At 42.1% G+C, this 27,635-nt stretch overlaps 1 protein-coding gene and 1 non-coding gene across 12 annotated transcripts in view, besides 4 other annotated features; both read right to left on the bottom strand.

The window, feature by feature from the left end:
• The window catches only part of GALNT1 (polypeptide N-acetylgalactosaminyltransferase 1), a 130,913-nt gene extending 110,074 nt beyond the window's left edge, over nucleotides 1-20,839 (bottom strand). For 3 of the 11 annotated variants that reach the window (NM_001384445.1, NM_001384446.1, NM_020474.4), the window contains exon 1: nucleotides 19,899-20,021. The gene's annotated coding sequence lies outside the window, so the exon portion shown is untranslated. Of the gene's footprint in view, nucleotides 1-19,892; nucleotides 20,022-20,189; nucleotides 20,281-20,327 lie in introns of those variants that run through there. The other 8 variants (NM_001384441.1, NM_001384439.1, NM_001384440.1 and 5 more) reach the window with 6 other exon arrangements.
• Nucleotides 5,156-5,205: an enhancer, noted in NCBI's record as "active region_13229". NCBI's record gives its function as "activates an Ori minimal core promoter by ATAC-STARR-seq in GM12878 lymphoblastoid cells {active_cell/tissue: GM12878}" and the evidence as "EXISTENCE:reporter gene assay evidence [ECO:0000049][PMID:35858748]".
• Nucleotides 5,266-5,325: an enhancer, noted in NCBI's record as "active region_13228". NCBI's record gives its function as "activates an Ori minimal core promoter by ATAC-STARR-seq in GM12878 lymphoblastoid cells {active_cell/tissue: GM12878}" and the evidence as "EXISTENCE:reporter gene assay evidence [ECO:0000049][PMID:35858748]".
• Nucleotides 9,370-9,489: an enhancer, noted in NCBI's record as "active region_13227". NCBI's record gives its function as "activates an Ori minimal core promoter by ATAC-STARR-seq in GM12878 lymphoblastoid cells {active_cell/tissue: GM12878}" and the evidence as "EXISTENCE:reporter gene assay evidence [ECO:0000049][PMID:35858748]".
• Nucleotides 9,955-10,024, bottom strand: MIR3975 (microRNA 3975). The gene has a single exon (NR_039771.1). It is a non-coding gene; the product is annotated as a microRNA 3975 (primary transcript).
• Nucleotides 20,280-20,979: a silencer, noted in NCBI's record as "silent region_9400". NCBI's record gives its function as "represses an Ori minimal core promoter by ATAC-STARR-seq in GM12878 lymphoblastoid cells {active_cell/tissue: GM12878}" and the evidence as "EXISTENCE:reporter gene assay evidence [ECO:0000049][PMID:35858748]".

Here is a 27,635-nt window from a genome sequence, read left to right as displayed (position 1 = left end):
TACATATTCTTTTCATCGGCACATGGAACATTCTCCAGGACAGACCATCTGGCAGGCCACAAAACAAGTCTCAACAAATTCAAATCTGTCAAAATTATATCAAGTATCTTTTCTGACCGTGATGAAGTAAAACCAGAAATCAATAATGAGGATACACAACGTATCAAAATCTATGGGATATTTATAGAAATAAACATCTACATCAAAACAGTAGAAAGATTTCAAATAAACAACCTAACAATACTCCTCAAGTAACTAGAAAAACAAGAACAAAAATTCCAAATTAATAGAAGGAAAAAATAATAAAGAACAGGAAAAAAGTAAATTGAGACCAAAAAATATAAAAGATCTACACAACAAAAAGTTGTTTTTTGAAAAGATTAATAAAATCAACAAACCCTTAGGTAGACTAAGAAAATAAGCAAAAAAGGGAGAGGACCTACATAAATAAAATCAAAACTGAAAAACAAGACATTAACAAATGATACCATAGAAATACAGAGGATCATTGGAGACTATTAAGAACTATACACCAAAAAATTGGAAAACCTAGAAGAAAGGGATAAATTCCTGAACACATAAGACCCATCAAAATTAAAACATAAAGAAATAGAAAACCTGAACAGACCAATCAAAAGTAACAAGATTAAATCTGTAAATAAAAAGTCTCCCATCAAAGAAAAGCCCAGAACCTGATGGCTTCACTGCTGAATTCTACCAAACACTTAAAAGATGAACTAATACCAATTCTACTCAAATTATTCCAAAAAAGTAAAGAGAAGGAAGGAAATACTTCCAAACTCATTCTGTTAGGCTACCATTACTCATATACCAAAAACAGACAAGGACACAACAAAAAAAGAAAACTACAGACCAATATCCCTGATGAACGTAATATGCAAAAATCCTCAAGAAAATGCTAGCAAACCAACTTGAACAACATATTAAAAAAATCATTCACCACGATCAAGTGAGATTCTTCCCAGTGATGCAAGAATAGCTCAAAATATGCAAGTCAATAAACTTGACACATCACATTAATAGAATGTTAATGGTATAGAAGGATCATACCCCTCCCCGCAAAAATAAAGGCCATATGTGACAAACCCACAGCTAACATTGTACTGAATGGGAAAAAACTGAAGCCTTTCCTCTAAGATCTGGAACAAGACAAGGATGCTCATATTCACCATTTCTCTTCAAAACAGTACTGGAAGTCCTAGCCAGAGCAATTCAAAAAGAAAAAGACATAAAGGGCCTCCAAATTGGAAAGAAAGTAGTCAAATTATCCTTGTTTGCAACAACATGGTATTATATTTAGAAAACCCTAAGACTCCATCAGCAAACTACTAGAACCAATAATCAAATCCAGTAAAGTTGCAGAATACACAATCAACAACAAAAATCACTAACATTAATACACACCAACATCAAACAAAACGAAAAAGAAATTAAGAAAGCAATCCTACAATAGCTATTAAATACAAAAAATATAAAATACCTAGGAATAAAGTTAAACAAAGAAAGGAATGATCTCTACAAGGAAAACTATAAAACACTGATGAAAGAAATTAAAGAGGACATTTTAAAAATGGGAAAATATTCCATGCTCATGAATTGGAATAACTAATATTGTGAAAATGTCCATCCTACCTAATGTGATCTACAGATTCAGGGCATCCCTATCAAAATACCAAGGACATTCTTCACAGAAATAGAAAAGACGATCCTAAATTGGAACCACAAAAGACCCCAAATAGCCATAGCAATCCCAGGCAAAAAGAATAAAGCTGTAGGCATCACACTACCTGACTTCAAAATGTATTAGAAAGCCATAGTAACCAAAACAGCATGATACTAACATAAAAACAGACACAAAGATCAATGGAACAGAATACAGAACCCAGATAGAAATCCACGCATTTACAGCCAACTCATTTTTGAAAAAGGCAAGAAGAATAATCACTGGGGAAAGGACAGTCTCTTCAATAAATCCAGCTGGGAAAACTATATGACCATACACAGAAGAATAAAGCTAGATCCCTATTTCTCATCATATACAGAAATCAACTCAAAATGGATTTAAAAACTTAAATCTGGCTAGGCGTAATGGCTCACACCTGTAAGCCCAGCACTTTGGGAGACCAAGGCGGGCAGACTGCTTGAGCTCAGGAGTTTGGGACCAGCCTGGTGAAACCAGGTCTTTATCCAAAATACAGAAAATTAGCTGGATGTGGCAGTGCATGTTTGTGGTCCCAGCTACTTAGGAGGCTGAGGTGGGAGGATCACTTGAGCCCCGGAGTTCAAGGCTACAGTGAGCTGTGATTGTGCCATAATTCACTGCAGCTTGAATGACAGAGTGAGACCTTGTCTTAAAAAAAAAAAAAAAAAAAAGTGTAAATCTCATACCTGAAACTATTAAACTACTAGAAGAAAACACTGCAAAAATGCCTCAGGACATTGGTCTGGGCAAAAACTTTTTGGGTTGGACCTCAAAAACACAGGCAACAAAGGTAAATGTAGGCAAATGGGAGCACATCAAGCTAAAAAGCTTCTGCAGAGCAAAGGAAACAACAAAGTGAAGAGATAACCTGTTTATAATAGGAGAAAACACCTGTAAACTATCCATCCAATGAAGGATTAATAACCAGAATTACAAGGAACTCAAAAGCAAAACAACAAATAATCCAATTGTAAAATGGGCTAAAGATTTCAATAAAAAGAAGACATACAAATAGCCAACACGTACATGAAAAAAAAAAAAAAAAACGCCTGGATACATCACCTGGAAAATGCAAATGAAAACCACAATGAGATATCATCTCACCCTAGTTAAAATAGCTTTTTACTACAAGGACAAGAAAATAACAGATGCTGGCAAGGATGCAGAGACAGGGGAGCCCTTATATGCTGTTGGTGGGAATGTAAATTAGTACAGCCATTAAGGAAAACAGCATGGAGGTTCCTAAAAAACTAAAAACAGAAGTACCATATGATCCAGCAACCCCAATGCTGGGTATATATCCAAAAGAAAGGAAATCAGTATATTGAAGAGATATAGACACTCCCATGTTTATTGCAGTACTATTTACAATAGCCAAAATAATGGAATCAACCTAAGCATCCATCAATAGATGAATGGATAAAGAAAATGTGGTACATAGATAGAATGGAATATTATTCAGCCATAAAAAATGAAATCCTATCATTTTCAACAACATGGATGGAACTGCAGGTCATTACGTTAAGTGAAATAAGCCAGGCACAAAAAGACAAATACCTCGTGTTCTCACTCGTATGTGAGAACTAAGAAAGTGGATCTCACAGAGGTAGAGAGTGAAATGATGGTTACCAGAGGCTGGGAAGGGTAGGGAGGAGAAGGGGAGATGAGAGACTGGTTACTGGGTACAAAAATACAGTTAGATTGTCCAGGCACAGTGGCTCACGCCTGTAATCCCAATACTTTGGAAGGCCGAGGCAGGAAGATCACCTGAGGTCAGGAGTTCGAGACCAGCCTGGCCAACATGGTGAAACTTCATCTCTACTAAAAATACAAAAATTAGCAGGGGGTGGTGGTGGGCACTGTAATCCCAGCTACTTGGGAGGCTAAGGCAGGAGAATCGCTTGAATCCGGAGGCTGCAGTGAACTGAGGTCGCGCCACTGCACTCCACCCTGGGCAGCAGAGCAAGACTCTGTTGAAAAAGAAGAGAAGGGAGGGGAGGGGATGGGAGGGGATTGGAGGGGAGGGGAGGGGAGGGGAGGGGAGGGGAGTTAGATGAAAAGCTATTGCTCAATAGTATAGTCAGGTGACTATAGTTAACAATGATATATTGTATAATTCAAAACAGCTAGAAGTGAAGTCTTAGAATGTCCCCAGCATAAAGAATCACAGCATTTAATGCCTAATTTCAAGGCATTTACATATATATGTTGAAAAGATGAACTTAAGTTGTGACTTAAAAGATGTAAACTGTTTTATTACATGAATTTGACTATTATTTTAAAAGTACACATATGCTAACGACCGATGAATCCAAATTCATTTAAAAGTATTAACTAATTCATGATAATGTTTTAAACCGCATATAGGCAAGGTAGCCCAGATTGCTTGAGTTTGCACCCTGACTCCTGACACCTACTACCAGGTCAGTTCATACAAGCTGCCTATATCACAAGACTGTTGAGATAATTAAAGGAGCAGCATGTAAAGGGCCAATATCAGACACAATACAAATTCTACTGAGAAAAGCACTAAACAAACTGTCATTATTTGTCTTATATAAGTAAACTACTAGAATGTAAAGAGTCATTAAGTTATTTAATGTTGACAAGGGGTCTGGAGGAGGTATTTCATTTTGGCTGCTCAGCATCCATCTCTCCCCACGTCCTAATTTCCTGTTGGAGAATTACCTGCCCTTGTATAATCCCAGTGAGAATGTAACTCCATATGACTACCCTCCCACTAATGGATGCCAAAGGGATTCCTGGAGGTTCTTGCAAATACTATAAATCCCTACTCTCACCCCTGGTACATCCAGCATGACCTAGGTTTCACCAACTAGATGCTTTCTCCAGGACTCTTAAATCTTGGGCAAGTAACATTCAAGGATGAAAGAACAGACTGGGTTCAATCATCCCAGTGGTAATCTGTTGATCAGGTCACTCCTGCAATTCTGCTTCCTAGCCCCCAAGAGTTGCCTTAGTTTCCACTAATCTGTTCCCAAGGCTGGTTCTCTAGAATTCCATCGGTTCTGTGAGCTTCTAATTCCTTTCCAATAAATTAACTCCTGCTAAGTTAGGCGGAGGTGGATTCTACTGCCTACAACTGAAGAATCCAATTGAGTAGTGAATGAAGAACAGTCAGTGGAGTACAACATGAACATACTGTGCTGGGGCTCATGTTGGAACTGGAGGCTCTGCTGAGGATAAGAACAGCAAGTCTTGGAAAGATGTTCTAGTAAATACAGTGAGAAAGCCAGAGGCTAAGATGTGATGAGCAATGGAATAAGGTATGGAGACTTCCCCTAGAGATGTGAGGAACTATGGTGTGGAGTTGAGTTGCATGGGAGGAAGTGGGCCCACCTATATCTGACCTGAAATTTCTGCCCGGTGAAATTCTAGGGTGTATTTTTATAAAGTCCCTTTCAAAGAGTTCTGTAAAAAAATAAAGAAAGAAAAAAACACTCACTCTCAGGTATCTACAAGTACACTAGGGTGGAGACCTTTCACGAAGAACCAAGTTTCTATGCCCTTCCCCCTAACTCCCACCTCTCTAGCTCAACACACTTTTTTAGCATACATAAGGTTCAAGTTCATAATGAAACTCTATTATAGTTCAATAGCATTTAAAGGCAAAGAACATTCAGAAGTGAGAGAAGAATATAAAAGTTACCCAGCTGGCTTGCTTCAGGTTTAAAGCCTTCAACAATTTTTTCCAGGAATGATATTATTATTACCATAGCCTCCTAGAACCCCGTCTATTTTGACTTGTCTACCTATTTCCACCTTTTTGACCCAATCTGAATCAAGCTACAGTCAGAGCTCCCATTTGGGGTCTCTGGGGAAAAGAGTTTTTCTAGTTCAGGGCTCAGATAAACCCCCATTGACTGTGAAAGCCTCTTTGTGCTTTGTTCTTCTCCAACATAATCTACCCTAATCTCTATATTTAAAATCAGTATCCTAAATTCTCTCCAAACTCTCTGCTGTTTTCCTTAGTTTTCGCAGCACCCTCTCTCTCTCAAATACACATTCCCCACCTCCTTCCATTTCTCAAAATGCACCCCAAATTTAACTTTTTAAAAATGCCTACCAGCATGTCACACCCAACTGGTAATTTCTTTCCCATCTAGCTTAGTTATCATATCTCTTCATAATATTCTAATTCAGAAAATAATTTTGAGGCAACTCTCATCTGGCCCAGAAATATTTATGACTTCCATTTACAACATTAAGAAAAAATTACTAGAATAGAACAGTTAGTTTTCACTGTGTACTTTTTGATACCGTCAGGATATTTTACTATGTAAACATGTTATTTTTTCTCTTAAGAAAAAAAAATTGCCACTATTTAATAATGTAAAAAAAATTATCTTATTGTCCCACTCTGCCAAGAGTATTTTTTATGCAAAAACATGTTAACATCAGGTGAGAGAAAAGAGCATCCCTAAATTCACAATGTTTCTGTTTAGTTTTGTTTGGAGGGCAGAGAGTGGACACGCAGCAGCTTGTTGCCATAGGTTTATGGTCTGGTTACTAAACAAATCAATGCTCTTCCACTGTTAAAAGTTTAAGGGAAATCTGAAGAATTTTTTCAAGTCAGTCATCCCTCAAAAAGTTGGTACTGCAAGTACTTTTAGGCTCCCAAGTGATGGTATGATTGGATCAGCCACTGTCACCTCCCACAAGTCTGGGAGTTGCTAGTAAATCAGAACAAATCAGGTCAGGGCCAGCATCTCTGTGTGTGTGTCCCAGGCAGACTCCACCTCTCTTTCCTCTAAGCAAAATCTTTTCATATATCATTTCATTATGTAAATTATCTTGTTATTAAATATTACATTACTTTTTTGTTATATATTAAGAGTATTTTACATGGGATATTTTCCATGCTATTGAAATATCATATTGTAACAGGAGAATCTGAATTGTGTATTTGTCAGAATCTGCCTCTTCATTTAGGCCCCATCCCAAAAAACTTACCCTCACACTGACACTGATCTTTAAGGCACCATCTAGCCTCCCCTAATGAGTTGATTTCAACACTAGAGTTACCATCTTCCTCCCCATTTCCAAAGCTCACCTCAAACCTCTGTTAGCAGCAACATCCAAGCTTATAGTCCCCATTGGCCTCAATCCTGATTTGTCCTCTGTCTCGAGTCTCAACACCAACCTGCCTGTCTATACCTTAAACTACTCTTCAGCCAAAACCAAACCCAGGCATAAAATACACCACCATCATGGTCTCCTGACCACTGGGGCTTAGGTTCCCTCACCCCTGCCAAACTTGTTCTTCTCCGTCTGCAGGAAGTTGCCTCCTAGTACACTTAACCAGCCTTCTAGTTTAATGTGCTCAGCTTCCAACACAGAAGTCATATTACCTTTGTAATAAGGTACTCTTTGACACACAAAAAATCCCTCACTTCATTGGACCTTTCAGCCTTACATACAATCTCTAACCCTCAGTAAGTTCTACTCTTCACTTTTTCTGCTTCAACTTCTAGGATAGTGGCATTAGAAAGTTCTGAAACACTGGCAAGGTCCCCTGTAAACCTACACTAACTAGCCAGACCAAGCCTTACTATTCTTTACAGCTCCTCTCCTGGACCCCCTCTCTCACCCTCTACCTTCCCTTGTGCACATCCTCAGACCAGCCAACATAGTCCTTGCCTCTCTACAGAGAAATCCCACCTCATCAGACCGGAGTTCCTTCCACCTCACTTTTACCTCACACTCCCTTGTTCCTCTGAGTTTTTTCTCCTTTTTAAGGATAATACTCTTTATTTGTACACTTAATTACATTCCTTTTCAAAGCCTTAGAAGCCTTGCTCCACAAATAACTCCTCTTCTCTTTCACATTCACCAACCAATGCCATCAGCCCTTTCTCCCAAGGTAACTTTCAGGCAAAGTTATGCCAGAGACAAGGGTTTTGTCCCCTACTCCTGCCCCCGCCCCCCGCCCAAAGAAAAGATTTAAAAACTGATTTAACTGCCAAAATCAGGACATTGCACTTGAAAAATCAAGATTTGTATTATAGGCTGGGCACGGTGACTCACTCCTGTAATCCCAACACTTTGGGAGGCTGAGGTGGGTAGATCACCTGAGGTCAGGAGTTCAAGGCCAGCCTGACCAACATGATGAAACCCCCGTCACTACTAAAAATACAAAACTTAGCCAGGTGTGATGGCACGTGCCTGTAGTCCCAGCTACTCAGGAGGCAGAGACAGGAGAATAGCTTGAACCCGAGAGGCGGAGGTTGCAGTGAGCCCAGATCGCGCCACTGTACCCCAGCCTGGGTGACAGAGCAAGATTCCATCTCAAAACAAAAAAGACTTGTATTCTAGCTTCTCTGGTTTAAAAAAAAAAAATTATCTGCCACCACTGACTGAGCATACCCAAAGAGCAAAATCCTAGTAGGTGATTAGCTGCCCTCTTGCAATGGGGTGCTTGCCATCTCCAGTCACCACAGTTGACCTTCCTTGTCCCCCGTCACCCCTCAGTGACTCTCATATACCTTACTACCCTGACTCAACATAACCTACGACCTACTAATAATAGGTTCTGCTCCTTCCTATCCTAAAAACCACTTGCCTCAACTACCCCGAATGCAAGCTACAATCTCCTCCTTTCTCCTCTCCCAAATACTTCCTCAGGGAATGGTCTACATTTGCTGTCACTCCTATCCCCTGGTAATAGATTTCTGCTCTTCCGCCTCTGCTAAAACTACAGAGAGCAGAGAAAGAATCTTTTCACCCTCCTGCCTGTTCAGCAGCACTGGACATCAGCAACTGTCTTCTTTATAAGGCCTCCTCTATTGGTTTCCTGACTCTGCCCTCTCTAATCCTCCTAATGAGGAAATCACGTAGACCTCCCTATGGTTCAACACCTGAAAACACCTCCGTGTGCCACATAGATTTCTTCAGTGCTTCCTCCTCACAAGTCCCAGACATGCAGCATCCTCCTTCTCCCGTGGAACCCTGCCCACAGCCTCCCACGTCTTGCAACTCCTCTCAAGGAAAAACAACAACAACAACAGGAAAACAACCTCAGTATGAAGACAAGTACATTGATTTATTCAACATTTACTGATCACTTTTCAGGTGGTAGGCAGACCAGTAAGAGAAGGTCCTTATCCCTACATAAGGGATTCACAGTCTAAAAGGGGCAAGGATAAACAGAGAGGGGTAACATGATACATATGATGATAAAGAAAAACAAAGGTACTAAGGTGAAGGCCAGAAGAGCTTGCTGAGACAAACACCAGAGCCTGATCCCCAGCCTCAGACATATCCACTACCACCATTTAGTCCAGGCCTCCTGCAAGAGCTTCCCAACTGATCTCCATGCCTCCCCTTTACCCATCCCACCCTCTCACCCAAATCCATTCTCCACACTGCAGCAGGGGTGATCTGCTTAAAATCAGGAGCAGAGCTTTCTCCTACTCAAAACCTTTCAACAGCACTGAGAATGAGGTCTTGCATCAGCTATACCATGCCAATTTTCCTACCTTCATCTCACCCCACCCCCATCCCTTGCACCAATGGCCCTTCAGCCACACTGGTATTTCAGTTCCTTAAACAGAATGAGTCCTCTTTGCTACACAGTCTCTGTGCATAGCATTCTTTTTTACCAGAATCCTCTTGCCCATACTCTTTGTATTATTAAAATCTTTTTGACCTCTGGGTCTCAGCTGAAATGTCATTTCTCCCATTGTTTACTTAATTGTTTCTATTTTTATCTTCCTCATTAAATTGTATGATCAACAAAGACAGGATCTATGTCTGTTTAGTTCCCATTGTAGTCACAGTGCCTGGCACAAACAGATACTCAATAAATATGTGCCCAGTGAGGATGTAAAAGTCACTTTCCTCATCCGGGCCCGTAACTGTAAGTATCCCCTCAGGTTTATTCCTCAGCCCTTTCTACCACTCCCTGTTTTCATCATTTCAATGCTGATGATGCTCATCTGCACCTCCAGACCTGACCTCTCCCAACAAGATGCAGTGCTCCAACTATGAAGCCTACAGGACAGTTCCACCTGGAATCCTTCTCTGACACCTGCAACTGGATATGTACCAAGACACATTCATTAACTCTTCTCAAACTCTGTTTTTTTCCATTGCTGTTAATGGTGACACCCCTTACAAATCAAGTGATTGACTTATTTTTCCTTCACCCATTGACGAGACCATCTGATTCCATTTCTAAAAATGCACCTGTATGCTCCTGCATACAAAGTCATGTGAAGTAGTGCATTAGCCTCATTTCCTACCTCTAGTCTTTTGAAATAGCAATCACTCACCTACATGTATGTTAAAGCTTAATTCTGATTATGTCAATCAATGCCCTCGTCAAAATCCTTCAACAGCTCCCTCCTGCATTCCAAAGAACATCCATACTCTTTTTGTTGGTATTCAAAGCCCCTCTCAATCTTTCCCAAACTATCCGAGCAAGGTAGTCTAGTTAAACAGTTAAGACCATAATCTGTGGAGCCAGACTGACACATTAAATGCACAGCCATGGGGACAGGTTTACCTGTCCAGCTTTACCACTTATCTTCTCAGTGCCATTTAATTTTGTTATAAAGAGCAAATGAATTAATATAAGTACAGCACTTAGAATTGTGCTTGGTATATGGCCAGAGATATTCTAAGTTGTGATTTATTTTGTTTTGCTTCCCCATCTCCAATTATCAATAGCCTACATTCACATCTGTCTGAACCAACTTACTATTACCACAGCATAGGGCAGGACCACAGCACAAGGACCAGCTGATAAGCTGCCAGTGTTGCATCCCCTTCTCAAAGCATTTCCAGTGAAAAGCTCCTGCCACAAAGGTCCTTTCTCTCCAGGAGTATGTATACATCTCATGCAATGAAATGCCCCAGAGGTTGCTCATCAAAGGATTTCCAGCCCTGTTCAAAGACTCTCAGTCTAAATTAACCACCCTTTTCTTCCCTCTACTTTCTCAATCCCCTCACAGGTTTCAGATCAGAGACCATGTTACCCTTATTTCCTATCCCCAGTGGCAGAGCTGTTTTAGTCATCTTTTGCCCCCAGTCTAAGTAAAAGTTGAAACTCTCACGGCTACTCTCCCTATATCAGTTCTGTTACTTGAGACAGTGTTCCCTTTGCATGGAAACACTTAAAATAATTAAAATTTATTCTGCAGTCCTAATACGAACACAATATGGACTTCAATCTCCAAAGCATCAGGCCTCTCCACTATGACAGTGCTGCCTTCCTACCTTTTTTTACAGTCCCTGCCACGCATGGGGACTTGTAAATGTTAGTAAAGTGTTTACTGATAACTCACTAATTCTTAGGAATGGACAAATGAGAGTTTCAATAGTCCCAGAAATTTCCTCCTACCCTTTAACCTGAAAGACAACAATAAATTATAAAACATAATGTGTAGATTCCAAAGGACAATCCAATAACTTAGTATGTGTCTCTACCAATGCAATGCAAATTCTACTCCTTTCTACAAATGAACTGATACTTTAAAAATATTCTTTTTTCAATGAGAAGTCATAACTTCCATGATGCTTAAACCTAAAGAACTGTCTTCAAATCACCTCCTGGTTCCCATAGAAGTTTGTCCTATACTCAAGGCTGTCAATCAAAAGATTAACATACTGGAAGCCAATACTTAGACATCTTTACAGAATCAAAATCAATCATATGTTCTCTAACATTAGAAGTCATAAATTACAACGAAGGATTTAAAGGAGTCTCATAACGATTTATAAGAATTTATAATTTGTAAAAATTTATAAGAATTCTAAACACTGAACAACAAATGGATCACTTGAAATCAGAGATGCACTCTCAACTCTCATCACCGCTGCTACATCTGCCCTCAAAACAATCCCAAACATCCCTCCCCATTAAGGACTAAAATGGGCTTCACATTGAAGGTGTCCCTACAAAAATCCATGGAAAACAGCAGAGAAGTTCAACTGAATGGCTAATCACTAGTCTATCATTTTAAAAAGAATCAAGCAGTAACACTCCAGGCAGTGCTAGTCAAAGTCTAGTTCCTAGATGGCAAACTGGCACTCACCTAGTCCATGAGGAGTAAGGAGAGAGGGTGAGAGCAAGCATTTAGAAACTTTGGTAGCAATTTGACAGATAAATGTTACATCTACTGAATCCAATAATTTTTGAAATGGAAATTATATATTGTGGTTTTTAATTTCATTTTTCTTGCAATTCATATTTTACACATATTAGGAAAACATCAGCCCATGAAAAGAAGAAATGTTACAAACTGATCCTTCGGGGATATTCAATTCCAGGAAGATGAAGCAGATGTATTTTCCCTATTCCTCCCACTAAGCACAACTGAAAACTCTGAACATTACATATAAAACAAACATGAGAAGATTCTTAACTGTGGAGAGAAGAAGGCTAGGGACCTCAGGCTGCAAGGAACAATAAAATGGTGAGTTCCCTGAGACTTATTTTTGCCTCATATATCCCAGCTTTCTGGAGTTGAAAATGGCAGCAATCTGAAACCTGGAAACATTAACAGAAGCAGAAGGGAAAAAAAGTCAAAAGACCAAGAAAGGGACATCCTACTGAGACAGAAAACTGATAGGAAAAAAACCACTCTACTCCAGACAAACATCACAGAAAAAAACTGTAGCCTTACCCCGACCCATGCCAACAAAGGTCAGGTGGGTAGCCTAGACTTCACGTACTCCCCGGGTTATAATAAGGCACCCACTTCCCACACACCAGGGTGGTGTTGAGAAGGCCAAGTAGGGAGCCCAAGCTTTCATTTACATCAGCTGGTAACAAGGCACCCTTCCACATACACCCTCTCCCCCGGATATCCTGGACCTCTACTCCCACCTGGTGGAAACAAGATACTGTACCTCTTGGGTCAAGAAAGGCCAAGTGGGGAGCCTGTACTTCTAATTTCCTCTAGTGATCACTAGACAGTGCCATGTGCCCTCCCCACCAACCTTCCCCCGCCAGGGTGGTATCAAAACAAAGCGAGCTAAAACAGAAGGCTTAAGTAAGATCCAGAATCTCATAGTATAATATAAAAACACCCAGGTTTTCATTTAAAAATCACTCATCATACCAAGAGCCAGGATGAACTCAAACTGAATGAAAAAGACATCAGGAGGCAGCAACACCAAGAAGAGAGATGTTAGAATTATCTGACAACAATTTTAAAGCAGCTGTGATAGACATGCTTCAATAATTACAAGCATGCTTGAAACAAATTAAGAATAAATAAACAAAAAGCCTCAACAAAGAAATACAAGATATGAAGAAAAACCTAAAGCAAATTTTAGAGCTGAAAAATACCAAAATAAAAAGACTCAGCAGCAGAAAGGGAGGGAAGGACACAGGAAAGGAACTGGAAGACAAGAGCCCAATATGAATAAGAGAGAAATGGACTAAAGAAAAATTGACAAAGCCTCAAAAACATGTGGAATCATAACAAAAGACTGAACATTCCAGTCATCAGAGTCTTGAAAGAAGAGGAGAAAGAGGGCAGGCTGAAAAAGTACTCAAAAAAGTAATGGTGAAAACTTCCTAAATTTGGCAAGTGACATAAACTTACAGATTTAGGAATCTGAGTGAACCCCAAGCAGTATAAACCCAAAGGAATCCACACCGAAATGTATCATAATAAAACTTTCGAAAACTAAAGACGAAGAAAAAATCCTGAGAACAGTGAGAGAAAAACGATTCCTTTCTACAGAGGAAAAATTATTAGAATGACAGTGGATTTCTCCTCAGAAACCATGGAAGCCAGAAGAAAGTGGTATAATTTTTTCAAGGGCTGAAAGAACTATCAACACAGAGTCCCATAACCAGAGAAAATAACTGGCCTTCTCTCTCCACAGTTGATAGAATGCCTTGACAAAAACAAGCAAAGACACAGAATTCAACAGCATCATCAACCAACAGGATGTAAGAGCAGAAAACACATTTCATTCAGGGGCCCACAGACAGACCATATTCTGGGCTGTAAAACAAACCTCAATAAATTTAAAAGAACTGAAATCAGAGTGTGCTCTCCAACCAAAATGGAATCAAACTAGAAACCGAAAACAGAAGATGAAAGGAAAATTTCCTAATACTTGGAATCTCAACAGCCCTCTTCAACATACCATGGCTCAAAGTGGAAGTCCCAAGATAAAATAAAAACAGACATTGAATTGAATGGAAATAAAAATAAAACAAAGGTGTGGAACACAGAGAAAACAGTGCTGAGAGGGAAACATTGCTAAATGCCCCCATGAATCTAAGTGCAAAATTCCTTAACAAAATATTAGTAAATGGAATTCAGCAACATATGTACAAAAAGTGTTATACTGTGACCAAGTTTCATGCCATGGATGTAAGGCTGGCTCAATATTTAAAAAATAAATCAATACAATGCACCATATTGACAGGCTAAAGAAGAAAAATCACATGATCAGATCAACTGATGAACAAAAAACACAATAAAATTCAACACTCACTCATGATAAAAACTCTCAGGAAGATAGGAACAGAGAGGAACTTCCCTAACTTGATAAACAGCATCCATGAAAATCCTATAGTTAACATTATACCTCATAGTTAAGGACTGAAGGAATGCTTTCCCCCAAGATCACAAAGACTGTCCTTTCTCACCCTTCTTATTCATCATAGTGCTGATATTTCAGCCAGTGCAACATGGCAAGAAAAGGCAAGAAAAAGTGTGCAGATTAAAAAGGAAAAGAATAAAATTGTTCCTCTTTGCAGGTAACATGGTAGTCTGCATAGAAAATCCCAAGGAATCTCCAGAAGAACTCCTAGAACTAATAAGTAGGTTCAGCAAGATTGTGGAATACAAAATCAACATATGAAAGTTAATTATATTTCTACATACTGGCAATGAGTACATGGACACCAAAATTAAAAATACCGTTACAATTACTAAAATATAAAAAGAAATATTTACTTACAAATGTAACAAAACAAATCCAATAAAAACTAACAAAACATATGTACAGGACTTGCATGATAAAACTACACAATGCTGATGAAAGAAATCAAGGATCTAAATAAATGGAGAGACAACCTGTGTTCACAGATTGAAAAATGCAACATACATACTAAAGACGTCGATCTTCTCCATACTGATACAGGTCTACTGCAATTTGTATCAAAAGCCCAGAAAGACCTTTTTTGTAGATATAAACAAGATTATTCTACAATTTATAAGGAAAAGCAAAGGAACTAGAACAGCTAAAATAACGGGGGAAAAAAAGTGTAGGAGGAATCAGTCTACCCCATGCCCATGCCCACCACTCCCAGCTCCAAATGCTTTTTTACAAAGATACAAAGGCAATTCAACGGAGGAATGACAGCCTTTTCAAGGAATGGTGCTGAAGTAACTGAACATCCATAGACACACGCATAAACACACACACAAACACACACACAATTTTGACCTAAATCTCAGCTTCATAAACTGGATCATGTAAAAACCACAAAACTATTAGGGAAAAAAAGCACAAGGGAAAAATCTTCAGGATCTAGGGCTAGGCAAAGAGTTCCCAGACTTGACACCAAAAAGAATGATCCATAAAAAAATAAACTGAGAAACTGGACTTCAACAAATTTAAAACTTTTGCTCTGCAAAAGACCTTATTAAGGGGATGAAAAGACAAGCTACAGACAAACAACATACCCAACAAAGGACCAGTATTTAGAATATATAAAGAATAAACAAGTCTCAAAAGTTAATAGTAAAAAGGACAAACAATCCCATTAGAAAATGAACAAAAGATAGTTCCCTGAAGAAAATATACAGTTGACAAATAAGCACATGAGAAGTGTTCAACATCATTAGCCTTTAAGGAAATGCACGTTAAAACCACAATGAGACATCCCTATACACCTATCAGAATGGCTAAATGGTGACAGGCCAGGCGTGGTGCCTCATGCCTGTAATCCCGGCACTTTGGGATGTTCCAGCCATGCTAGAACATTTTACAAAACAGCTCACCAGTTTTTTAAAAAACTAAACATGCAACTGCCACACAACCCAGTAAGTGTACTCCTGGGCATATATCCCAGAGAAATAAAGACTCTGTTCACACAAAAACCTATACACAAAAGCTTACAGCAGCTTTATTCACAATAGCCAAAAACTAGAAACAACCAGATGTTCAACAGGTAAATGGTTAAAAGATCCGTAAAAGTACATTCATACTATGGAATATTACTTAGCAATGAAAAGGGAGTAATTACTGATACATGCAACAACCTGGATCAATCTCCAGAGAATTATGCTGAGTGAATAAAGCCAATTCCAAAAGACACTTATCCCATTTATAAAACATTCTTAAAATGGCAAAATTACAGAAATGAACAAATTAGTAATTGTCAGAGTTTAAGGAGGGGGTGGAGGTAGAAGGGTAGTAGGTGTGGCTACAAAAAAACATAAGGAAATCTTGTGGCCATGAAAATTTTCTCTATCTTGACTGTTTCAATGTGACTATTACAGGTCTGGAAATTGTACTATAGCTTTACAAAATGATACCATTGGAAGCAACCAGGTAACTGAGGACTAAATGAGGACACACAGATATAAATGTAAACTGTTATCCCTACCCTTAAACACCATACACTCAAGAGGCATAAATCAACAGTGAATAACTTCATCAAGGAGAAAGACCTTGAGCAAATCTATGAAAAACAGGTAGCACTTCCACAAGTGGAGGTGGAGAAGGGGACATCTTGGGAAGGAGAAGAAATCACATAAAAAGGTACAGAGCCAGAAATAAGCAAAGTGCCTATGAAGAAAGAGGCATGTGTCGGGGGTTGTGAAATAACATAAAAATGGGATAAGAAATGTGGAGGGTAACTCTGAAGGGTCCCCAAAAGTCAGGTGCAGGAGTTTAAATGTTACATACCCAGAGAAGCCGTCCTCCCCAACCCAGCCAACCTGAAGTTCCCCCACCTACAATCTCTCCAGCATCCTTTACTGCTAATGTGTAGCAATAATCACAAATTGTATTTATGTACTTATTTGCATGTTTATTTAATGCTATCCACCCCCAGTTATCTTGAGACTACAGCACTGGGTGTGGCACACATTAATCGCTCCATACAGGGGTCCCCAACCCCCAAGCCATGAACCAGTACCAGTCTGTGGCCTGTTAGAAACCTGGCCACACAGCAGGAGGTGAGCAGTGGGCAAGCGAGCATTACTGCCTGAGCTCCACCTCCTTCCGGTCAGATCACCAGCGGCATTAAATTCTCATAGGGCAAACACTACTGTGAATTTTACATATGAGGGATCTAGGTTGCACAAGACTTATGAGAATCTAATGCCTGATGATCTGAGGTGTAACGGTTTCATCCCGAAACCATTCCCCTGGCCCCCAACCTGGTCCACGGAAAAACTGTCTTCCACAAAACTGGTCCCTGGTGCCAGAGAGACTGGGACTGCTGAGTCAATAAATATTAATTGAATAAATGAACAAACAGTAAGTAGTCACTCCTAACTCTCTTCTACGAAGTTGCCGCACTCCTCTTCCTCCATTATCTGTCACTCCCTTTGCCTTGGTCCCTCTTTGCCTAACTGCCTCTTTTAACTGATCTCTCCTCTTTCCTTCCTCCTCTACCTCAGCCCAGCTCTTAACCCATCAAAAAATAAAACTTGGTATATAACTGCAATGGTATAACACTCTTCTGCATCTCAACCAATTAGGAACTGTATCCAAGAAATCTGTTACTGAAAAAAAAGTACCAAAGTTGTATGTTACATAAGCATGACAGATGTATTACATAAATAAATAAGTAAAAGCAGAAACAGCGTCAACCTGATTGTGACCTTTCATGAGAATGAGTATGGAAAGCTGTCCATCAAAGAAAGCCAGGACAGTATTCCTCAAAACTACCAAAGTTATGGAAAACCAGACAAGACAGAAACTATCACAAACCAAATATTAAAGAAACATGATGTCAAAATACAATGTAGTACACTGGACTGGATTCTGGAACAGAAAGAAGATATTAACGGAAAAACTGGTGAAATCCAAATAATGTCTGGAATTTAGCTACCTAAAAAAATACAAAATTTTTTAAAAACTATATGAAGCACTAATGTGTGATTCAGATTCAAAATTATTATTATATTAGTTAAAAGAGGGATAGGGCATGCAAGTGAGCCAGGAGCAAAACTCCAGTCAGAGTAGCTGGAGCGTCCCACTGAAAGTTACAAACAGATCTATCTTCATTTTGACTCTGGTCCCATGCTCTCTCACCTGATGTCATGAGAATTACCTTGCCTGTAACTGCTTGGGATTAACAATCAGTTTTGTTGTTGTTGGGTTTTCAGTTTTTTGAGACAGGGTCTCGCGCTGTCACTCTGGAATAGCTAGGACTACAGACGCATGCCACCACACCCAGCTAACAACCACGCTTAAGTATCCTAGCACACTCATTCGTTTATCCAACAAGCATTTATACCAAGTGCTTATTGCTTACCAGGCACTGTAAAGTCTTCAGTGATACATGGCTGGAAAAGGAAGCCACAATCTCTGCTCTCATAAAGCTTAAACTCTATTGAGAAAGCCAGGCATTTAACAAGTATTTGCATAAATGGTGAGTGCTCCCAAGAGTTTTGCAGTCTGCTGCTTAAGAGGCACCAAACAAACCAGCAGAGCAGTCATTAAACGCAGTTATCACCAGCACGCTGAACAAAGGCTTCTCAGGTTTCAAAGTGCACACAAATAACTTGAAATCCTGGTAAAGCAGATACTGATTCAGTTGATGTGCAGCGGGGCTTCACATTCTGCATTACTTGAGTCTGAGGTGACAGGGATGCTGCTGGTACACCATCCACACTTGGAATAGCAGGACTCGGAGTACCATGGAAACATCCTCAAAGGATCATGTAAAATGTCAATTCCAATAGGGCAAGGACATTGTGTCTCCCTTATTCACCATGTACCCAGAACTTAAAACTGTGCCTCATAGACAGATCGCATTCAGTAAATATTTACTGACACAACAAATGTATGTATAATTTAGACCAGGGCTGTTCAACTGTAGCAAAGAACCACATTTAGCTATGGAACACTTGAAATGTGGCTACTGTGACCGAGGAGCTGAATTTTTAAAATTTAATTTTAATAGTCACATGTGGTTAGTGGCTCCCACGCTGGACAGTCCAGGTCTGGACACAGATGTGATGTAAAGAGGACTGGACTAACAAGGTCTAGGTTTGAATCCCAACTCTGCTGCTCAGATTGTGACCTGAAAAGTTGCAACTTCTTAGGGCCTTCACTATTTCATCTGTGAAATGACAAGACCTCCTAACTCTCAGCGTTCTTGACACGATTATAAAGCAATGTATTAAACATAAGATATGATCAAAGTGACATTCTCTGCCCTCCAGAAACAGTTCAGAAAGACTACTTTGCCTATTGCCCACTTGACCAAAAAAATGCCAAGTGAGTTTGGTAGACGGGTTGGTTAGCTCAGTGGCTTTGAGAATGAGGACAAGGTCACAAATCTGGGGAGTAAGGGAACCTCATCTAGCAAGGCTGACCAGATAAGAGAAGCAATGACAATGCAAATCATCCCAATTCCTGGTAAATGCTTAAATGGGCAACGTATTGATTATGGATGAGTAAATGACATCTCATTCATTCATTCTTCCAGGAAAAGCGGAAAAGCTACTACATTACCTAAAGCCCGCTACTTCCCAACCACAAACATTTGCTAATTTAGGTCCGGGTCCTCCTCGGGGGCAGCGGGCCGGGAAGCCCCCTCCCCCGCTGCCGGCGTGTCTTCCCCTCCCCCGTGGCGCCGCGAGGGTCAGGCTGGCACCGCGGTTGCAAGTACCACACGGCCGAACCCAGAAGCCATATTTAGCTTTATTTTTGTCAATAAAACAAACTTCCGTCTTCTAAAGAAAAACGGTTCTAACTCAATGTCAAACTAGGACGGAAACTCGCTGCTCGCCAAAGCTGCCAACCAGAGACGCCGCGTGTCCAACGGCACCGGGGTCCCAGACCCGAACCCGCGCCGAGCGTGCCCGCGCCCCGGCCCCAGGCAGCGCCGGCCACAAAGGGACCGGGGACGCGGCCGCGGCGGGGCCTCTTTCTCCACCTCCGACCCGCGCGCAGCGCTGCGGCTCCGGGACTGCCCAGCCGCGGGCGATACACTCACCTCGCTAGGCGCGCGGCGGCGGCGGCGGCAGGCGTCCTCCGGGCCGGCCGCGGCGGTCGCGGCCGGTCCCGCGGCCAGCGCGCTACTCTCGGGCCGCCGTCCGCCGCGCGCTCCTCGGCCACTGCCGGCGGCTCCCCCGGCGGGCGGGCGGGTCCGGCCGGGCCCCGCTCCGCCGCGCCCGCCCCCGCCTCCGCGCCCGGCTCGGGTCGGCGGCTACTCCGGGCGCCCCGCTCGCGGGCTCGGGCGGCGCTACTCCGGGCCGCCCCGCATGCGCGCCGCCTGCCCGCTCACTTGGGGCTCGTCGCGCGGCGGGCGCCGCAGGGCGCCCGCAGGCGCTCGGGCGCGGTCCTCCCTGCGCTGCGTGCTCGGCGGCAGCGGCGGCGGCGGCCCGTGCGGCTGCGCGGGGGAGGCGGGGGCGCCGGCGCTCACCCGGATGCGCGCCCCCTCCGCTGCGGCGAGCCCACCGCGGGGCCGCGACGCTCCCCTCGGGCTCGGGACTCCGGGGTCGGGCGCGGCGCCCCTCCCGGACCGACCGCCCAGTCCCGGCCCCCGCTCACACGGCTACGGGCAGGGCCGGGCCAGGCCGAGAGGTGCCCCCGACCCTGGGTCGGGACAAAGAGGCTGCCGCAGCAAGTTAAAGACAACTCGGGCTGTTGCGCGTCGAGCAGGTCACGGGGTGGGAGGAGATGGAGGAGCCCTCACAGCGGATCGGCTCCCGGGCCGAGCGCGGGGCCGCCCCAACCCGGTCGGCTGCCTGAGGCGGCCGCGAGCGCGGGAGCTGGAGCGCTGTCAGCCGCGCTGAGCCTGCGCCTGGCGACCGCGATGCAGGAGGCCCGGGACTGAGGGAGGACGGCGAGAGCGGAGGCCCGCGACCCGCACCGCCGGGGCAGGCACCCGGGTCTCGGGGGCAGCAACGCCGGGGCCCTTGCAGAACGGGGACTGTTTGGGGAAGTGGCTCCCGCACAGTGCCCGGAGAGGGGCCCTCCCTCTGTGCCCCCTTGGGAAACACTGCTTGGTACAATTCCAATACCCAGCTGTACCCTGCCCTGAAGATAGAAGACAAAACCCTGGCTCTGTCACTCACGCGAGGCATAACCAACCATTCTTTTAATAAATTAATTTTCTACTTAAATAATTCAGAGGTTTGTGTCTTATTGCTTGCCAACCAAGAGCTGCAATAAGAGATTACTTAATATTTAAGTGGTCCCACTTTTAAATTTATATTACCTCTCACATAACCAAAAGGCTGTCCGAAAAAAAAAAAAAAAAACCTGAAGATTATCTCTGGAATTTTAGTATCCTGTTTTTGCTTGTCTACATCTTCCAAGTATTCTAAAATAAAAGTTAAAAGTTACTATTTTAAAAGTACTTATATAATATTTTGAAACAAAGTCAATCATGACTAGCCTGTTACTGTTCCACAAGGAAACTTCACTTTGGAATAAAGTTGTCATCGTTAAAAAATACTCTTATCTTGGGAGAAAAGATTGGCAAATCATATATCTGTTAAAGGACTTGTAGCCAGAATGTATGAAGAACTCTTACAACTCAGTAATAAGACTAATAGTCCAATTTTAAATGGGCAAAACAATTGAATAGACGTTTTACCAAAGATATTTAAATGATCAACAATTACATAAAAAGGTGTTCAACATCATTAGTTAATAGGGAAATGCAAATTAGAAGCACAACAAGGAAGTTCTTGACACCCACTACACTGGCTGTAGTACAAAAGACAGACAGACAATAGCAGTGTTGGTGAAGAGATGGAGAAATTAGAACCCTCATACGTTGCCTATGGAAATGTAAAATGGTGCAGCCACTTTGGAAAACAGTTTTCCAGGTTTTTTAAAAAGTTACACATGAAGTATTCTATCACCCAACAATTCCACTCCTAGGCGTATGCCTGAGAGAACTGAAGATAAATTCATACAGTAACTTGTACATGAATATTAATAACAGTGTTATTCATGATAGCCAAGAAGTAGAAACAGTCCAAATGTCCAGAAACTGCTGCGTGGATAAAATGCAGTATATGCCATACAGTGGACTACTACTCAGTAAAAGGAACGAAGTAGTCATAGAAGATACAACATAGAGGAACCTCAAAAACGATAAGCTAAGTGGAAGAAGCTAGATGTGTAAGAGCCTGTATTGTAGGATCTATTTACAGCCATGCCCCGGTCAATGATGGGTCACCTGTACAATGGTGGTCCCATAAGATTATATGCAGCTGAAAAGTTACTATCACCAAGTGAGGTAGCCTTCATAATGTCGTTGGGCAATGGGTTACCTTTTCTGTGTTTAGATACACAAATACCATTGTGTTAACAATTGCCTGCGGTATTCAGTACAGTCCCATGCTGTACAGGTCTGTAGCCTAGGAGCAATAAGCTGTACCATGTAGCCTAGGTGTGTAGTAGGCTATACCATCTAGGTTTGTGAGTATACTGTATGATATTCTCACAATGACAGAATTGCCTAACAATGCATTTCCCAAAACATACCCCTGTCATTAAGTGACACATTGACTATGTAAGATATCTAGAAAAGGCAAATCGATACAGATAATCAGTGGTCTAGAGCTGGGGGTAGATATGGGGAATGACTGCAAAGGGGCACAAGAGATCTCTTTGCAGTGATATAAATGTTCTAAAATTGGATTGTGGTAATGGTTGTAGATTTACGAAAACTACCTGAACTGTGCACTTGAAATGTGGATTTTATGGTATGTGCAATTACCTCAATAAAGCAATTAAAAAAAAAGATAACTGTGTACCATTAAATAGCGCAGGAAAATAGTACCTTTTTAATCTGCTTGCAACAAGTTCTTTGCAATGAAAACTACCTGTAAGACAAATGAAAAATTGTGTGCTGTTTGCACATAATTCTACCGTGTAATCAAATGCACTTTTCACAACTGTTTTTATAACCAAGCACATTTACCCTTCAACAATCCAAGTCTACTCCTATTCATTCCAAAATGTGTCTTCACTGTACCTGCTAACAGAACAGAAAATGGGGTAGAAAAGGGTAAGCATATTTGAGAGCAGGAAAAAACTAGATTCTTTACAACAAAGTCAAGATTTGCCAAGAAGGAATAGTTGAAAGGGCATAGACCAGGGAATCCAGAGTAAGAATGCTTTCTTTCCCAGTGTTAATCTTGTTTTTCTTTGGCTCTGCCCCAGGACTCATTGGTTGCCTCCAGTAATGCACGTGGTATGCCTGTGGGGTAAGGGACATTGTCTTTGGGCTGGATAATGGTAGGATTCAAGATTTGTTTCATTATTTTATGGATTTGTAAGGATTTTTCATGATTTCTATGATCTTACCATAGAAGAAATTAACCCCTAGAAGAGTAAGTAATGGAGACACATTGAAATTGAACAATCCTACCTGAAATAGCCTATCTGCCCTGACATCCCCTCACCACAGCCCCCGACTCCCGGAAGCACACCAGGGGAGCTGCTCCTTGGAGTAGACTTATTAATTCAGGGCATTATTTCTATCAGGCCCCCTTTAAAATGGTTGTTATCTAAATGATGCTAATATTCTTTCAGTTTATGAATAAGGCCAAATTGTTTGTTCCTGACTACCTAGAAACCAAATGAATGGCACCTAGGGTGGATTTGGTTTAATGGAGAGATGTGGGGGGGTTGCCTGAAGCAGGGTAAACTGTCCAGGAACAACTGACCCACATGGTAGGCAGGGAAGGGAGAAGAGTAGAGGTTGTTTATACAGAATTGTGTGTCAAGCACCCACTTGTGGGAAGGAACAGAAGAGGGTAATGGATGAGAGAGGGACAGACACAAACTAGCCCACACAGATGTCCAGTGATACGAAGTATGTGGAATCATGCAGAATGCAAAGCACCATTATTTTATGATTTTTTACTCCTTGTGTTTGCTTTGCCATACGGAGGCCTGGCAGCTCTGTCTTGTGGCTGCAGCCTCAGGAACATGCATGCACTTCTTCGTCTCATAGCTCCCCTGCCCGTAGACATCATCGCTGTCATGACCACTCACTGTTGTGAGGCCCAGGAACAAGAGAACGCAAATTGGATGCAGGCAGGAACCTTGGTACATTCATCCATTTGGTGGTGATCATGTCATGTCAGCGAGGTGAAGGCAGCCCTGGGGAGATGGAGGTAGCATCCCAGTCAGGATGCCATCAAAGCCTTGTGGTGATCAGAGCAGTACATTTTAGGCATTTGTGGGAGGTGGGGCAGGTAACAGTGACTAATAGTTGCAGTTTCCCCCAATGATTACACCTTATATAACTGTAGTATAATATCAAAACCAGGAAATTGACATTGGTGCAATGTGTGTGTGTAGCTCTATGCCATTTTACCACGAGTTGATTCCTGTAACTACCACCCGAATCAAGATACAGAGCTGTTATGTTAATTTCCTATGGCCTAGGTTTGCTAACTCTGACCAAAGCTGAGAGGTTTCACAATGACTCAGTAGCCAATTATGTATGTTTGAATTCATGGTTTATTGTGAGGTCTTCACACACCATCAATTATGTAATTAATATTTAACACATAGGCAGTCATCAGAGGTGGGTAATGAACCACAGTGATGGGCTTGGGAGACCAACGCACTGACAGACATGTCCAGCGGGTACAGAAGTCCTTCAGATGTTGGTCAGGTGTGGGGGTGGGGGGTCACCACTTCTGCTTCTCTCAGGCAGAGCCCGCAGTGACCGTTGCCAAGTTGGGAGATGACCTCACAGTTCTCATGGGCAGAGCCTCTTAAGGCATCTAGGCTAAGACCAGGTGCTTGCTGCTTTCAGGATCCTCTCAGATATGTCCACTGTCATTAACTCAGCCACTTTTCAATTTCTGTCAGTTCATTTCAGGTCTCAGGTGGTACCAGGCAAGAGCAGGTGTTATCACCTCAAGCCATTACACACACACGTTTAGCACTTTGAGGAGTACACATTTAGCACTTTGAGGAGTAAACAACTTCACTGTGGCCTCAATACTACTTGATAGGAGTGACCCCATTTTGAGACATTAGGATCCCAAATCATCCTACTATATCAAGTAGTATTTCATCACCACAAAGATCTCCTTTATAGCCACACCCTCTTCCCCACCCTCACTATCTCTAACCCCTGGCAACCACTTATCTGTTCCCTGTCTCTATAGTTGTGTAAATGGAATCATACAGTATGTGGCTATGGATGTCGTATAAATGGAATCATACAGTATGTGGCTGTTATGGTTTGGCTCTGTGTCCCCACCCAAATCTCATCTTGAATTGTACTCTCATAATTCTCATGTGTTGTAGGAGGGACCCAGTGGGAGATAATTTGAATCTTGGGGGCAGTTCCCCCGTACTGTTCTTGTGGTAGTGAATAAGTCTCACGAGATCTGATGGTTTTATCAGGGATTTCCGCTTTTGCATCTTCCTCTTTTTTTTTTCTCTTGCCGCCGCCATGTAAAAAGTGCCTTTCACCTCCTGCCATGATTCTGAGGCCTCCCCAGCCATGTGGAACTGTAAGTCCAATTAAACCTCTTTTTCTGCCCAGTCTCAGGTATGTCTTTATCAGCAGCATGAAAATGGACTAATATAGTGCCCTTTTGAGATTGGCTTTTTTACTCAACTTAATGCCCTTGCCTATTGTTGGGTCATGGTTTTTTGTTTATTTTTGTGCTGTCCATTCTGTTGACTGGGCAGGGATTAAAGCCCTGGGTCTCCACTTGGCCACGTGGTCTTCTCTGACTCCTTCTCAGCAGGGAGTGAGGTCATGAGGGGTGCATTGTTACAACAGAGTGAAGATGGCAGTCTAGGCTCTCTATTCAAAGCCTTTATGGACAGGGAAGGGGTGAGGTCAAATATGTTTTCTTCAATGTTTGGTTGGAATAGGGCATTTATTTTCTAAAAGTTTTCTCTCTTGCTAGGTTGCCCCTTTCCTGATCCTTTGGCTAGAGAGAACAGGCATTTATGGGTTTAAAAAAAAAATGCTCCTGTGATGTTCCCAGATGCCCACTCTCCAGCACTTGGTCCAGGATCTATGAGGCAAGAAGGAAACAGGGAACTTGGCAGGGTGCAGTGGCTCACGCCTGTAATCCTAGCACTTTGGGAGGTCGAGGCAGGCAGATCACTTGAGGTCAGGAGTTCGAAACCAGCCTGGCCAATATGGTGAAACCCCATCTCTACTAAAAACACAAAAAAATTAGCTGGGCATGGTGGTGGGCACCTGTAATTCCAGCTACTCCAGAGGCTGAGGTAGGAGAATTGCTTGAACCAAGGAGATGGAGGTTTCAGTGAGCTGAGATCACGCCACTGCACTTCAGCCTGGGCAACAGAACAAGACTCCATCTCAAAAAAAAAAAAAAAAGAAAAAAGAAAAAAGAAAAAAAAAACCCTGAGGGAACTTGTTGCCCTGTCATTCCTTGGATCCCAAGATCAATGGTGGATGGGTCCCTGTAGATCCCTAGTCAATTGTCTTCTTCTCTCCACCTTTTAGACTCTTCTGTTTGTTTCATAAACAATGCTCAGGGCTTTTAGCTATTGTTAGTAGGCAGTGTACTTCACCCACTATTCTACCTTGTTCTGGAACCAGAAGTTGAGAATAAAATTTTGAAACAGAAATGAGATCAGATTGCAGATTATTCCTATAAAAACATCACCCCTGGACCAGGCACGGTGGCTCACGCCTGTAATCCCAGCACTTTGGGAGGCTGAGGCGGGTGGATCACCTGAGGTCAGGAGTTCCAGACCAGCCTGACCAATATGGTGAAACCCCATCTCTGCTAAAAATACAAAAATTAGCTAGGCATGGTGGCAGGCACCTGTAATCCCAGCTACTCGGGGGGCTAAGACAGGAGAATTGCTTGAACCCAGGAGTCAGAGGTTGCAGTGAGCTGACATCGCACCACTGTACTCCAGCCTGGGCCACAGAGCAAGACTCTGCCTCAAATGAAAAAAAAAAAAAAAAAAAAAAAAGTCACTCCCAATTTCTTGCATTCCAATAGGCTTTCTTGAGTCAGAAAGCAAAGGGAAAATTTACTGCTAGACGATTAGGAATTCCACATATATGCTTTGGACATTTAAATGGTCTATCATAGTGGAAAAAGTGCTATGAACTGCTAGATCAGAGACCCAGCTGAAGCCTGAAGTAAGCAAATATGGAGGAGTGGAAAAGTTGAGACATCAGTGAAAACAAGCCAGAGGCACTGCAAGTGGAACAGGGCCTGCATTGATAAGGCCCAAGACATACCATTTGGGCATAAGGTCAACAAGGGTGAAGACGACAGTAAGCAAAAATAAACCTAAGAAACTGAGGCTGGGCGCTGCGGCTCATGCCTGTAATCCTAGCACTTTGGGAGGCTGAAGCAGGTGGATCACTTGAGGTCAGGAGTTCGAGGTCAGCCTGGCCAACATGGTGAAACCACATCTCTACTAAAAATACAAAAATTAGCAGGGCATGGTGGCACATGTCTGTAGTCCCAGCTACTTGGGAGGCTGAGGCAGGAGAATTGCTTGAACCCGGGAGGCAGAGGTTGCAGTGAGCCAAGATTGTACCACTGCACTCCAGCCTGGGCGACAGAGCAAGACTCAGTCTCAAAAAAATAAAAATATATAAAAAACTGAACATTTAAAAAGTCACAAAGTCGTTAATATAAAATTTAAGGAAAGTAGAGTAGCCGTCATTTAAAAAGAAAATCAAATGACATAAACTTCAAATAAAGCGAAATGGAAGAGGCAATGGGTAATCGGTTCA

This window comes from Homo sapiens, chromosome 18, assembly GCF_000001405.40.
Source record: "Homo sapiens chromosome 18, GRCh38.p14 Primary Assembly".
NCBI classification, from domain to species: domain Eukaryota; kingdom Metazoa; phylum Chordata; class Mammalia; order Primates; family Hominidae; genus Homo; species Homo sapiens.
Note: the sequence above shows the minus strand (reverse complement) of the source record. Positions and strands in the feature narration are given on the sequence as shown.